The 15,207-nt window shown below is 43.3% G+C and overlaps 1 protein-coding gene and 1 non-coding gene across 9 annotated transcripts in view; both read left to right on the top strand.

Annotated features, from left to right (window-relative positions):
• CFDP1 (craniofacial development protein 1) overlaps positions 1-15,207 on the top strand; it is a 139,794-nt gene that overhangs the window by 21,437 nt on the left and 103,150 nt on the right. For all 8 annotated transcript variants that reach the window (XR_007064846.1, XR_007064847.1, XR_007064845.1 and 5 more), the window contains exon 4: positions 115-242. Coding sequence is in view for 5 of the 8 variants with exons in the window: in NM_006324.3 (NP_006315.1) it covers positions 115-242 (128 nt within the window). In the remaining 3 variants the exon portion in view is untranslated. The remainder of the gene's footprint in view (positions 1-114; positions 243-15,207) is intronic.
• On the top strand, positions 2,601-2,735 carry LOC124900382 (small nucleolar RNA SNORA76). Its single transcript, XR_007065229.1, has one exon. It is a non-coding gene; the product is annotated as a small nucleolar RNA SNORA76 (small nucleolar RNA).

The following is a 15,207-nucleotide window of genomic DNA, read 5'->3' as shown; positions in this document are numbered from 1 at the left end:
TCCAGCTTGGGCTACAGAGTGAGACGCTATCTCAAAGAAAAAAAAATAAAAAGTATCTGTAAACAATATGGTTCATCTTTTGGTGAAACATTACATTTCTTGTTTTTTTTATAGAAAGGAGAGGAGACTGAAGAGACAAGTTCAAGTAAATTGTTGGTAAAAGCAGAAGAGCTAGAGAAACCTAAAGAAACAGAAAAAGTTAAAATCACCAAGGTGTTTGATTTTGCTGGTGAAGAAGTAAGGTAAGAGAACCTTCAAAAACTTTGAAACTAGCATTTTCAAAAATGAGCGTCTCTCTCTAACTGGTGTTAGCCATCTATCCTCTTTTCAATCCATCATAATATTTTGGGAGAGTTATACTTGAACTCAAGGAAAACTGGCTCTATAAATTACCAGGGAGTATGAGAAAGGTCCTTTCACATATAGCAGTGTAGTTTTTGAGCTTTACGAAGTGCTCAGCTGAACAGAAGCAAGGGAATATGAGTTAAGTATTTTGTTCCACTTGATCATTGCCATGTTTTGTGACTTTTGGTAAGTCATGTCTCCCTTTATTACTCTCCTTGACTGCAATATGAGCCCCATTGAAGTCTCAGAAATCAGATAATAATTGAAAATACAAGGAGAGAAATTTGGTTTCAATATTATTTTCTTTTTCTGAGACGGAGTCTTGCTCTGTAGCCCAGGATGGAATGCAGTGGCGTGATCTCGGCTCCCTGCAACCTCTGCCTCCCGGGTCCCAGTTCAAGCAATTCTCCTACTTCAGCCTCCCGAGTAGCTGGGATTACAGGCACACGCCACCATACCCAGCTAATTCTTTTGTAGTTTTTTTGTTTTGTTTTTGTTTTTTTTTAGATGGAGTCTCGCTCCCGTTGTGCAGGCTGGAGTACAGGGTGCGATCTCGGCTCATTGCGACCTCCACCTCCCAGGTTCAAGTGATTCTCCTTCCTCAGCCTCCCAAGTAGATGGGATTGCAAGCCTGTGCAACCATGCCCTGTTATTTTTGTGTTTTTAGTAGAGATGGGGTTTCGCCATGTTGGCCAGGCTGGTCTTGAACTCCTGACCTCAGGTGATCCACCCGCCTTGGCCTCCCAAAGTGCTAGGATTACAGGCATGAGCTGCCACTCCTGGCCTTTTTTTTTCTTTTTTTTTTTTTTTTTTGAGACAGAGTCTTGCTCTGTCGCCCAGGCTGGAGTGCAGTGGCACAGTCTCGGCTCACTGCAAGCTCCACCTCCTGGGTTCACGCCATTCTCCTGTCTCAGCCTCCCGAGTAGCTGGGACTACAGGTGCTCACCACCATGCCCGGCTAATTTTTTAATATTTTTAGTAGAGACGGGGTTTCACCATGTTAGCCGGGATGGTCTCGATCTCCTGACCTCGTGATCCGCCCGCCTCGGCCTCCCAAAGTGCTGGGATTACAGGTGTGATCCACCGTGCCTGGACTTTTTTTTTGTAGTTTTAGTAGAGACAGGGTTTCACCATGTTGGCCAGACTGGTCTTGAACTCCTGACCTCGTGATCCGCCTGCCTTGGCCTCACAAAGTGCTGAGATTACAGGCATGAGCCACTGTCCCCGGCCTCAATATTATTTTCTTAGCTTAATAATATTTTTCTGATTGATTAATAAGGTTTATTTACCATAGGTTAAGTAAGGGCTTAATGCCTTGAGCAAGTTAGTCTCCTGGCTGTTAGGTAAGAGCCACATCCCTGTAATTTCCCTTCCCCCATTTATTTCAATTTTATTATGTGAAAATAGCAGATTTGTGATTTAGAGCTGCATGAGAACAGAGGAAGTGCCAATCAATAATTTTATAGGCAGTTACATTGATTTTCATTGGCAGTAATTAATTAGACCTGTAGGCTCTCTGAAAATACAATTTTCCCTAAAATTGTTATTCTTAAAAATAATGTTTTCAACAATTATTTATCTAGTGAAGCTATATTTAGGGAAAAGAATTGACACTATCAGTTTTTTTGTTTTGGGTTTTTTTTTTTTTTTTTTTTTTTTTTTTTTTGAGAAAGGGTCTTGCTGTGTTGCCTAGGCTGGTCTTGAACACCTGGGCTCAAGTGATCCTCCAGCCTTGGCCTCCTAAGTAACTGGGACTTCAGGGATGTACTACTCTGCCTGGCCATTATCACTTTTACAAATGGTATGGAACAAAACTTTTTATTATTAAAATTTTCTCTCTAACTTCTTCTTCTGAAAAATGTCACACTTATAGAAATGTTGCAAGAATAGTATTACAACAAACACCTACATACCTATGATCCAGATTCACCACTGGTTAATGTATTGCCTCTCTCTCACCATCTATATCTGGGTTTTTCTTTTGTTTTGGCTGAACCATTTGAGAATTACTTGTAGACATTGTGACACATCAGCCTTTAATACTTTAGCACGTGTCTCCTACGACCAAGGGCATTCTCCATTGTAGCACGATATAACTCTCATATTCAGTAAAGTTAATGTTAGAGCAGATTACTATCTATAGTGAAGGACCCCAACTTAAAATTTTCAATCTATAGCAGACCAGTACTTTTCTAAAAACACAATAAAAAGGAATTACTAGAAAAACAAATATAAAAGATAACTAAATTTTTACTAAGATTCGACAGATACCCTACTGCCTCTCTTTGTGGCGGCGGGGCTCAGGCTGCAGCACCACAGCACTGTGTGTGTGTATAACTGGGGCCACCTGCCCCTTCCAAGTGTGGGCCTTTTAACCTCTATCGACAGGTGTGGGGGAAAAAAAGATTTAATAGACATAACATTACATTTCAATGCATGTGGTCAAAATGAACCGCAGACAGGAAAAAGAAAAGAATTTTGTAATTATACAGGCTGTTCATTGGAAGTGTTAATATACAGGGAATCACTGTTACCTTTTATTCTGTTATTAAAACAAAAAACTGGCCTGGCACGGTGGCTCATGCCTGTAATCCCAGCACTCTGGGAGGCGAAGGTGGGTGGATTGCTTGAGGTTAGGAGTTCGAGACCAGCCTGAACAACATGATGAAACCCCGTCTCTACTAAAAATAAAAAAAATTAGCCAGGTGTGGTGGTGCACGTCTGTAATCCTAGCTACTTGGGAGGCTGAAGCAGGAGAATCACTTGAATCCAGTAGGCAGAGGTTGCAGTGAGCCGAGATCGTACCACTGCACTCCAGCCTGGGCAACAGAGCGAGACTCTGTCTCAAAACAAAAAAACAAAAAGCTGAGTAAAATATCAATTCTCAGTATTAAATGTCAGACACACACTTTGAATCAACACTATTTTTTTTTATTATTATTATTTTGAGACAGGGTCTTGATCTGTTGCCGAGGCTAGAGTACAGTGGCATGATCTCGGCTCTCTGCAACCTCCGCCTTCTGGTTCAAGTGATTCTCCTGCCTCAGGCTCCCGAGTGGCTGGGATTACAGGTGCCTGCCAGCGTGCCAGCTAATTTTTGTATTTTTAGTAGATATGGGATTTCACCATTTTGGCCAGGCTGGTCTTGAAATCTTGACCTTATGATCCACCCTCCTCAGCCTCCCAAAGTGCTGCAATTACAGTGTGAGCCACTGCACCTGGCCCACTGTTTATATTAATATTTGAAGTTTTTATTGTGGTGAAAGAGCTTGTTTCTTTCTTCTTAATCTAAGTTGTATTGATGACTGTACTCCTCCTGGGGGATCATTTGTAGGTAAATTATTTCTTTGTTGGTTTTCTCCTTCCTGCCTTCTGACCACCCTTCCATCCTTCACACAGATTTTTTTTTTAACATGGGATCTGCCAGGGTGTAACACAGAGATATTTTCATGGGATCAGAAGTATACATTTTAAAAAAGTTTCATTTAGTTCAGGGTTTTCATTTTTTGCCTTTATCTGCAATGAATCTGGATAAAAGATGTACTGTGCGTGCGTTCTTTCTCTCTCCTCCTTCCCTCCCTCCCTCCCTCTCTCCCTTCCTTCCTTCCTTCCTTTTTTGAGACAGAGTCTCTCTTTGTCACCCAGGCTGTGGTGCAGTGACACAATCTCAGCTCACTACAGCCTCAACCTCCAGGACTCAAGTCATTCTCCCACCTCAGCCTGCCGAGTGCGTGGGACTATAGGCATACACCACGCTTGGCTAATTTTTGTATTTTTTGTAGAGATGGGTTTCACCATTTTGCCTAGGCTGGTCTCGAACTTCTGGGCTGAGGTGATCCTCCTGCCTTCACCTCCCAAAGTGCTTGGATTGCAGGTGTGAGCCACCGCACCCTGCCTGTGATACTGTGTTTTCAAAGTTTGTATTAAATGCTTCATTATAGCCATTTTCAATGATTTATCCCGTCAAGTTATAATTACAGTTATTTTTTAGTGAAAGGAAAAAGGAATTCTGGAAGCCCAAATTTCCTATACATGAATTCTTTTTTTTCTTTTTTTTTTTTTTTTTTGAGACAGGGTCTTGCTCTGTCATTCACGCTAGCCTCAACCAACCTACGAGGCTCAGTTGATTTCCCCCGACCTCAGCCTCCTGAGTAACTGGAGCTACAGGCATATGCCACCTTGCCCATCTAACTTTTAAAATTTTTTTGTAGCAATGTCATCTCACTGTGTTGCCCAGGCTGCTCTTGAACCTCCTGGACTCAAGTGATCCTGCTGCCTTGGCCCACCAAAGTGCTGGGATTACAAGTATGAGCCACCACACCCAGCCATGTGTGAATATTTTTTTAATAGAAAATACAATTCAAAACATTCTATGAAATGTGTTAATTTGTAGAAACACTATTTTTCTAGGTTTCTAACTTGCATTTTTACCCTTATAATTTATTTGCTACTGAAAAACATGTTAAATTGCTTTCTTGCCTGGAAGTACTAGGATTATTTTTTGTTTTTGAGAGACAGGAGCTAACTCACTCTGTCACTCGGGTTGGAGTGTGGTTGTGCAATCATTGATTACTGTAACCTTGAACTCATGGGCTCAAGTGATCCTCCCACGTCAGCCTCCCACCACAGCCTCCCAAGTGAACATCACCACACCTAGCTAATTATTTTATTTCATTTATTTGTTTGCTTGTTTATTTGTTTATTTGAGATGGAGTCTCTGTCACCCAAGCTGGAGTACAGTGGCGTGATCTCAGCTCACTGCAACCTCCGCCTCCCAGGTTCAGGCGATTCTCCTGCCTCAGTCTCTCGAGTAGTTGGGATTACAGGCATCTGCCACCACGCCTGGCTAATTTTTGTATTTTTAGTAGAGATGGTCACCATGTTGACCAGGCTGATTTCAAACTCCTGACCTCAAGTGATGCTCCCGCCTCGGCCTCCCAAAGTGCTGGGATTACAGGCATGAGTTACCATGCCTGGCCTATTTGTTTATTTTTATTTATTTTATTTATTTTTATTTTTTGAGTTGGAGTCTCGCTCTATCAACCCAGCCTGGAGTGCAGTGGCGCAATCTCGGCTCATCACAACCTATGCCTCCGGGGTTCAGACCATTCTCCTGCCTCAGCCTCCCGAGTAGCTGGGATTACAGGTGCGTGCCACCACGCCCAGCTATTTTTTATATTTTGAGTAGAGATGGGGTTTCACCATGTTGGCTGGGCTGATATTGAACTTGTGACCTCATGACCCACCCACCTTGGCCTCCCAAAGTGCTGGGATTACAGGTATGAGCCACCGCACCCTGCCTATTTGTTTGTTTATTTTTAATATTTTATTTATTTAATTTTTTTGAGACAGGGTCTCACTCTGTTGCCCAGGCTGGAGTGTAGTGGCTCCCTCATGGCCCACTACAGCCATGATCTCCCAGGCTGAAGAAATCCTTTCACCTCAGCCTCCCTGATACCTGGGAATATAGGCATTGGTCACCCATGCCTAGCTAATTCGTTTTTATTTTTTTAGAGACGAGGTCTCCCTATGTTGCTTAGGCTGGTCTTGAACTCCTGGGCTCAAGTGATCCTCCTGCCTTAGCCTCCCAAAGTGTTGGGATTACAGGTATGAGCCACTGCACCTGGCCTATTTTATTTTTTTGTAGAGATGGGGTCTTGCTGTGTTGCCCAAGGTGGTCCTGACCTCTTGTCCTCAAGTGATCCTCCTGCTTTGGCCTCCCAAAGTGCTGGGATTACAGGTGTGAGCCACCATGTCTGACCATCTACATAAATTTTTTTTTTCTTTTTTCTTTTTTTTTTTGGAGACGGGGTTTTGCTCTGTCACCCAGGCTGGAGTGCAGTGGCGCAGTCTTGGCTCACTGCAGTCCCTGCCTCCTGGGCTCAGGCAGTCCTCTCACCTCAGCCTCCTTAGCAGCTAGGACTGCAGGTGCATACCACCACGCCTGGCTCATTTGTTTTTTTTTTTTTTTTGAGATGGAGTCTCACTCTGTCACCCAGGCTGGAGTGCAATGACACAATCTCAGCTCACTGCAACTTTACCTCCTTGGTTCAAGCAGTTCTCCTGCCTCAGCTTCCTGAGTAGCTGGACTACAGGCACGCACCACCATGCCTGGCTAAATTTTTTTTGTATTTTTAGTAGAGACGAGGTTTCACCTTGTTGGTCAGGCTGGTCTGGAACTCCTGACCTCATATGATCTGCCCGCCTCAGCCTCCCAAAGTGCTAGGATTACAGGCATGAGCCACCACACCAGGCCTCTTGTGTTTTTTGTATAGATGGGTTTATCCAGCCTGGTGTCAAACTCCTGGGCTCAAGCATCTGCCTGCTTGGCCTCCCAAAGTGTTGGGATTACAGACATGAGTCATCATGCCTGGCACCTGTATAAATTTTAAAAATTACAATTGAGTAACAATTAAAATGATTGTAAAAATAAGTTATAAAAATAAATGCTTACATTTTATTACATTTTTGGGCTTTAGTTGACAAGATAATTCTGAAGTATCACACACATTGTAATGTCCTACTGCGTGTGACTGATAATTCATATCACATGTGACTCACCTTGCAAATCTGGCCTAACTGAATTTATACTCTGTTTAATGGAAGGGCCCACTGCTCATGTCTTGAGTATTGTGACATTGTCAAATTGCTGAACAAGTTTCTAAATACTCACAATTTCTGTGCCCATCTCATCTTGGACCAATAACAGGTAGTTTTGCAGTCAAAACTTGAATAGCACTATATACAAATGATTCCATTCAGTTTTTCCCCAGTTATCCCAATAATGTACTTTATAGCTGTATTTCTTGTTCAATCTAAAATCCAGTCTAGAAGTCCAGCGCGCTATCCGTTGTGCTATGGAGCCACCTCTAAGATCCAATCTAAGATGAAAACCATAATTGGTCTTTTGTTGTTGCTGTTGATTTTGCATTTGGTCTTTTTAAACTCCTTGTACTTAGAACTGTTTTTCATGCCTTTTCTGTATTTCACAGCATTGGTTTTAAGCTTTTTTTTTTTTAAGAGTCCAGGCCATTTGTATTGCATAATGTCCCTCAATTTGGATTGCTGCATTGTTTATGATGAGCTTCACATTAATTATGTTAGACAAAAATACTACATTGATGGTGCTTCTCATCCATCAAGAGACTCAGCATTGATGGGGATAAGTTAGGCCACCAGTATCTTAAGACAGTACCTTTGCGGCCGGGCGCGGTGGCTCATGCCTGTATTCCCAGCACTTTGGGAGGCCGAGGCAGGCGGATCATGGGGTCAGGAGATCGAGACCATCCTGGCTAACACGGTGAAACCCGTTCTCTACTAAAAATACAAAAAATTAGCTGGGTGCAGTGGCGGGTGCCTGTAGGAGGCTGAGGCAGGACAATGGCGTGAACCCGGGAGGCGGAGCTTGCAGTGAGCCGAGATCGTGCCACTGCACTCCAGCCTGGGCAACAGAGCAAGACTCCGTCTCAAAAAAAAAAAAAGAAAAATGACAGTACCTTCCAGAATTCTTCATTGTAAGGCAACCTTTTCCTTGGTAATTAGTTGTTTTCGGGTTCCATAAATAATAATAATAATTACTATTATTATTTTGAGACACGGTCTTACTCTGTTGCCCAGGCTGGAGTGCAGTGGTGCGATCTCAGCTCACTGCAACCTCCGCCTCCTGGGTTCAAGCGATTCTCCTGCCTTAGCCTCCCGAGTAGCTGGGATTACAGGCACCTGCCACTGCACCCGGCCAAGTTTTTTATTTTTAGTAAAGACAGGGTTTCATCATGTTGGCCAGGCTGGTCTCCAACTCCTGACCTCAAATGATACGCCCACTTCGGCCTCCCAAAGTGCTGGGATTACAGGTGTGAGCCACCATGCCTGGCCCCATAAATAATTATTGATGATATGAATTAGTAATATATTTTACTGCCTGAAATTATTCTGGAAGCTGTTGAGTTGTACATCCAGTAGGGGACCAGCAGAACGCTGACAGTATAAACTTTTAATAGTTTGAAAGTCCTATAAAAATAATATAGAAAGTATGTTAATGTACCGTTAGGAATATAGGTTTAAAAGTTTTTTGAAGTCTTTTTTGGCTTGAATTATTTTCTATGTGTTATGCAGACTAAGAAAGATTTATTTATAACTTCACTAGTGGCCCTCACATAGAGTGTACAAAAAGCTGGTAAATAACTGTTGCTGTAAGAAGTCATTAGGCCAGGCGCAGTGGCACATGCCTGTAATCCCGGCACTTTGGGAGGCTGAGGCAGGAGGACTGCTTGAGTACTGGAGTTGAAGACCAGCCTGGGCAACATGGAGAAACTCCATTTCTACAAAAAATATAAAAATTAGCCAGTCATTGTGGTGTGTGTCTGTAGTCCCAGCTACTCAGGAGGCTGAAGTAGGAGTGTCCCTTGAGACCAGGAGGCAGAGGTTGCTGTGTGCTGAGATCGTGCCACTGAACTCCAGCCTGGGTGACAGAGTGAGACCCTGTCTCAAAAAAAGTCATAAATTTTCGGTCAAATTAAGTGTTGTGGACTTGTTAGTAAATACTATTATAGTTGTGTGCTGCAAATTTCCTATTTCATTTTTGAAAACAAGTGGATGGTAATTTTAAATGTCCTTGATGGGTATTCAGGGCGTCTGCTGTTTTCTCAATTTGTCAGAAGAGGGCAGCACCATGTCTATAAAAAACAAAACAAAGAAATGAGTATGGAAGCCCTTTTTTCATATGAATTACATACTGTCACATACATTTTATATTTCAAAATGATACATGCTTATTACTTTAAAAATCATGTTACAGAGATATATAATATATATAACATGAAAAGTGAAAGTTCTGTAACTCCCTTCCCCTAAAGAAAACAAAAACCCTGTTAATAGTGGGCATGTTGACAGGATTTTTTTAAACTTAATTTATTTATACTTAAATTTAGGCATTATAAGGAATTCTCATAAGGGGACTTACGAGATCTGAATTTTCATTGATAACAGATACAAATTTGTTGTATGGATTTGAGCATATCTTTTAATTTCTTCATGTCATTATTCTCCTTTTTCTCTCTGTATCAAGTTAAGAGCATTACTACATCTTCAAGAAATGTGAGAAGAGCTGGTGATGACAGGAAGGAATTTGTAGGTCTAAGTGTAAGGTAGTGTTAGCACAAAGTTAGTCTTCAGTTTTCTAACTGTATTTTAATGTTAAATTTTGGGCTTTGATCATTTCATTTTGTTTTTGTCCCTACTTGAAAAATGTTTAGCTTATTAACCTAGGGGAATGGGGGAATATAGTATTTTGTATTCTGCCCTATCACATAACCAGCTGAGCCAGTTAGCTCAGACTTTCCTAAATGATTCACCTTTTGGAAAAAGCCAGTCATGGAAAGTTTCTGCCCAATTAAAGACTTTCAGGAAGTTCTGAGCAAGTGAAAATAAAGTTAAAATGGAATTTCTGTTGAGAACACTTGAATTAACTATTACTAATAATAGGCCTTTTCCTGTCAGAGTTCCCTCTTGTGCGTTAGAGGTGGTCTATAATTTAACTGTTCTCCTGCTTGAAGATATTTTGATACTTGAATCCCTTATTGCTTGTTAAAAGTGGAGTTGTTCTAGGCATACTGTCAATGAAGAGTAATCTGTAATATTACTTGGTGTCAATTACTAAAGTTCCTGAGATAAATATACCAGTGTTTCCTAGTGAATATAGATAGGACTTTGGCACTAAGAAATTTTGAGAGATACTCCCACAGTTTATACTTTTTCCATGCTGCTTTTATGCCACTTACTATATATCATGTATTACAATGACTTGCTTTCATGGTTGGCTGTTCTGCTGAACTGTGAGCTCCTTAAGAGCAAAGGCCATGCCATATTTTTTTTTATATGTTCAACATCTAACAGTGCTTGGATCTAGGTTGCTTTTCAGCAAATGTTGACCTAATTGTCTCAGGTGACTCTTTCCAGGCTTGTCATTTCCATGAAGGTAGTAAAAAACAAAACCAAACATGCATTACCTAGAGGCTACTTTTCCTTAAGCTATCACTTAGGCCATTTGATTTCATCTTCTCTATCACCAGCATTCTGAAACTTCACAGTGATTTGCCTTGATGTGAATCTTTTTTTTATTTTTCTGAGACGGAGTCGCACCTTGTCGCCCAGACTGGAGTGTAGTGGCGCTATCTCAGCTCACTGAAACCTCTGCCTCCTGGGTTCAAACGAATCTCCTGGCTCAGTCTCCCAAGCAGCTGGGATTACAGGCACCTGCTACCACGCCCAGCTAATTTTTTTTTTTTTTTTTTTTTTGAGACGGAGTCTTAACTTTGTTGCCCAGGGTGGAGTGCAGTGGTGCAATCTTGGCTCACTGCAAGCTCCATCTCCCTGGTTCACGCCATTCTCCTGCCTCAGCCTCCCGAGTAGCAGGGACTACAGGCGCTCGCCACCAAGCCTGGCTAATATTTTGTATTTTTAGTAGAGACGGGGTTTCACTGTATTAGCCAGCATGGTCTTGATTTCCTGACCTCATGATCCACCCACCTCGGCCTCCCAAAGTGCTGGGATTACATGCGTGAGCCACTGCGCCCAGCCAATTTTTGTATTTCTTAATAGAGACAGGGTTTCACCATGTTGCCAGGCTGGTCTGGAACTCCTGACCTCACTATCTGCCCACCTCGGCCTCCCAAAGTGCTGGGATTACAGGTGTGAGCCACTGTGTCAAGCTGGATGCTTTTAAATTAGCTGCATCCAGTGTTCTGTGGCTCTTTTTTATGGAAGCCTATCCTTCACTTCTAGGACATTTTCTGTTATTGTTGACAACTTCCCCCTATTTTCTGTTTTTATGAGATTCATATTAGTAGAATTGATATGACAGGCCAGGGCAGTCTAGGCTGAGGTAACAAACTCAGCAACTCAGTAGCATAATACAGTACATTATTTCTTACTGGTATAAAGTCCAATATGAGTTTCGTAGCACTCCATCTTGTAACTCAGTTGTACAGAACACCTAGGCTTCAGGGTTGCTCTGGCAAAGGAAGAATGAATACATAGATTTTCATATAATTCCTCTTTTCTCAGAATGGACTTCAGCCATGCCTTTTGAGTCTGGAACTTCCGTGGTTTTCATTTCTCCAGAGTAATGGGTTCTGCTGGATTGGGGATGGGGTAGAGCAGTAGCCTGTGGTATGAGGTGCTGCTGAAGGGGATCTGGGGCCTAGCTGCTCCTGATGGATAATTCCAACTGGTTTTAGCCCTATTCCTTTCCTCTACCTCGAAAGGTTCCTGGTGTCTCAATTTAATGAGCCTTTCTAGGGTACTTTAGTACACATTGGCTTGCCTGTTTTTGGCCATTCCACATGGCTGTAGGCTTAGGAGATCAGAGAAAACAAAAACCAAAGCCAGTTATTACTTGTCTACTTGCTTTCTACCTTCTTTTTTGTTTTGTTTTGTTTTTTGTTTTGAGACAGGGTCTCACTCTGTTGCCTAGGCTGTATAGTTCCACGATAATAGCTCACTGTAACCTTGAACTCCTGGCTTCAAGCGATCCTTCTGCTTCAGCCTCCCAAGCATCTAGGACTACAGGTGCACGCCATGATGCCTGGCTGATTTTTTTTTTCCTTTTTTTTTTTTTTTTTTTGAGATGGAGTTTTGCTCTTGTTGCCCAGGCTGGAGTGCAATGGCACGATCTCGGCTCACCGCAACCTCCACCTCCTGGGTTCAAGCGATTCTGCTGCCTCAGCCTCCCAAGCAGCTGGGATTACAGGCATGTGCCACCACCACTGGCTAATTTTGTATTTTTGATAGAGATGGGGTTTCTCCATGTTGATCAGGCTGGTCTCGAACTCCCAACCTCAGGTGATCCGCCTGCCTTGGCCTCCCAAAATGCTGGGGTTACAGGCGTGAGCCACCACGCCCAGCCGATTTTAAAAAATTTTTTGTAGAGTTAGGGTCTTGCCATGTTGCCCAGGGCTCAAGTAATCCTCCCGCCCTTGGCCTCCCAAAGTGCTGGAATTACAGGCCCGAGCTACTGCACCTGGCTGCTTTCTACTGTCAGAAAATTTGGGCTGGGCGCAGTGGCTCATGCCTGTAATCCCAGCACTGGGAGGCCAAGGCAGGAGGACCACTTGAGCCCAGGAGTTTGAATCCAGCCCAGGCAACATGGTGAGACTCTGTCTTTAAAACAAAAAAAAAGAAGAAGAAAATTCTGTTGGCATCCCTTTTCTGTTATACTTCTTCTCATTATCCTTGTGTAGTTTCATCTTTTTAAATTTATTTGCCACTATTTAGTAGGGTTTTGGCAGGACTGGAATAAAGCATGTGTTCAGATTACTATATGTAAGTGGCAGTTTCTACTTGTTCTTCATTAGCTGGTCTGCCCCAGATTCTACCCAGAGCAAGGAAATTTAAAGGTACCCTTTCTAGTTTAGTACTCCAGAACCCTGCATTAAGCCTGAGATTTGGATGTGGGTTTATTTTGGTTATTTTTACAACAGTGTAAGAAAGCACCTCAAAATTTAGTGGCTTTAAAAAATAATTGTTTTATTATAATTTCTCTTGGTTCCAGGGGTGGCTGGGCTCAGCTAGGCAGTTCTTACTCAGGGTCTCTTGTACAGTTGTAATCAGACAGTGGCTAAGTGTGGAACCACTTCACAGGTTTTCTTTTTTTTTTTTTTTTTTTTTTTGAGACGGAGTCTCGCTCTGTCTCCCAGGCTGAAGTGCAGTGGCATGATTTCGGCTCACTGCAAGCTCCACCTCCCGGGTTCCCACTATTCTCCTGCCTCAGCCTCCCGAGTAGCTGGGACTACAGGCGCCCGCCACCATGCCTGGCTAATTTTTTTTGTATTTTTTAGTAGAGACGGGGTTTCACCGTGTTAGCCAGGGTGGTCTCAATCTCCTGACCTCGTGATCTGCCCGCCTCAGCCTCCCAAAGTGCTGGGATTACAGGCATGACCACCACGCCCAGCCTTCACAGGTTTTCTTACTCCCACGTCTGATGCCAGAGCTGGGAAGGCTCAAACACCCAGGGGTTGGTACAGGCTTCTCAGACGTCTGTTTCTGTGTGATCTTCCCATATGATCTCTCCAACATAGTGGCTGCAGAGTAGCCAGACTTCTTTTGTGGTAACTTGGAGTTTCAAAGGTGCATTCTTGAGAGAGACAGACACAGGGACAGACAGACAGACAGAGCATGCCAGGTGGAAGCATGCCAGGTGGAAGCTGTATTATCTTTTATTTGCTAGCCTGTGGAAGTCATGTTGTGCCACTTCCACAGAACTCTTTGAGTTGAGACAGCCATGAAGGCCCATTCACTTTCAAGGGGTGATGACACAGACTCCCCCTCTAACTGGGGTAGTATCAGGGTTCTGGAAGAGCATGTGGGGATGGGAAATTTGTGGCAACCATCTTTGGAATATCCTGTCTGCTATAGGGTTCTCTATAGCATTGCTGCTTAATCTCAGGATAGCCTTGAATAAGTAACGCAACCTTATATTTCAGTTTTCTTACTCACAAAATGTAAATGTGTCAGTCAGCTCTTGCTACAGTAGTGCTGTGTAGCACACCATTCCAAAACTCAGTGATGTACAATGATAAGCATTTACTTGTTGCCTTTTGCCTCTGAGTATCTGAGATTGAGTGATTTAGACTCGGCTCAGCTAAGCTCCAAGCTGCTTGTTTGTTGGGTTCAGGTCTACAGCATGTGTCTTTCTGCCATCTTGGACCAGCAGCCAGTTGAGGTGTATTCTCCTTATGACTCAAGGGATGAATTCAAGGGGCAAGAGAAACAGCACAAACATGTTTAAGCTTCTGTTCCTCTCAGATCAGCTAATACTTCATTGGCCTTTGTAGCAAGTCGTGTATCCAAGCTCAGCATCAGTGGAGTAGGGAAGGATTTGTTTTGTTTTGTTCTTTTATTTTTATTTATTTATTTATTTTTTGAGACGGAGTCTCGCTGTCGCCCAGGCTGGAGTGCAGTGGCGGGATCTCGGCTGACTGCAGCCTCCACCTTCTGGGTTCATGAGGTTCTCCTGCCTCAGCCTCCCGAGTAGCTAGGATACAGGTGTACCTGCCACTATGCCCGGCTAATTTTTTTTACTTTTTTTAGTAGAGACAGGGTTTCACCATGTTGGCCTGGCTGGTCTCGAACTCCTGACCTCATAATCTGCCCGCCTCAGTCTCCCAAAGTGCTGGGATTACAGGCGTGAGCCACTGCCCCCGGCCTGTTGTTTTCTTTTTGAGACGGAGTCTTGCTCTGTTGTCAGGGCTGGAGTGCAGTGATGCTATCTTGGCTCACTGCAACCTCTGCCTCCCAGGTTCAAGTGATTCAGCCTCCTAAGTAGCTGGAGTTACAGGCATGCACCACCACACTCAGTTAACTTTTGTATTTTTAGTAGAGATGGGGTTTCATCATGTTGGCCAGGCTGGTCTCGAACTCCTGACCTCAAATGATCTGCCCACTTTGGCCTCCCAAAATGCTGGGATTACAGGCATGAGCCACTGTACCTGGCCTGGTTTTAAAACAAAAAAACGCTGGGCGCAGTGGCTCACGCCTGTAATCCCAGCACTTTGGGAGGCCAAGGCGGGCAGATCACAAGGTCAGGAGATCAAGACCATCCTGGCTAACACGGTGAAACCCCATCTCTACTAAAAATACAAAAAAATTAGCTGGGCGTGGTGGCGGGCACCCGTAGTCCCAGCTGCTTGGGAGGCTGAGGCAGGAGAATGGCATGAACCCAGGAGGCAGAGGTTGCAGTGAGCCGAGATTGCGCCACTGCACTCCAGCCTAGGCGACAGAGCGAGACTCCATCTCAAATGAAAACAAACAAACAAACAAAAAACAAGAAAAAACTTCTCAGAGGACTACAAAAGAGGCCACTGAGGC

Source organism: Homo sapiens, chromosome 16 (assembly GCF_000001405.40).
Source record: "Homo sapiens chromosome 16, GRCh38.p14 Primary Assembly".
Classification (NCBI taxonomy): Eukaryota; Metazoa; Chordata; class Mammalia; order Primates; family Hominidae; genus Homo; species Homo sapiens.
This window is presented reverse-complemented; position numbering and strand designations above follow the sequence as displayed.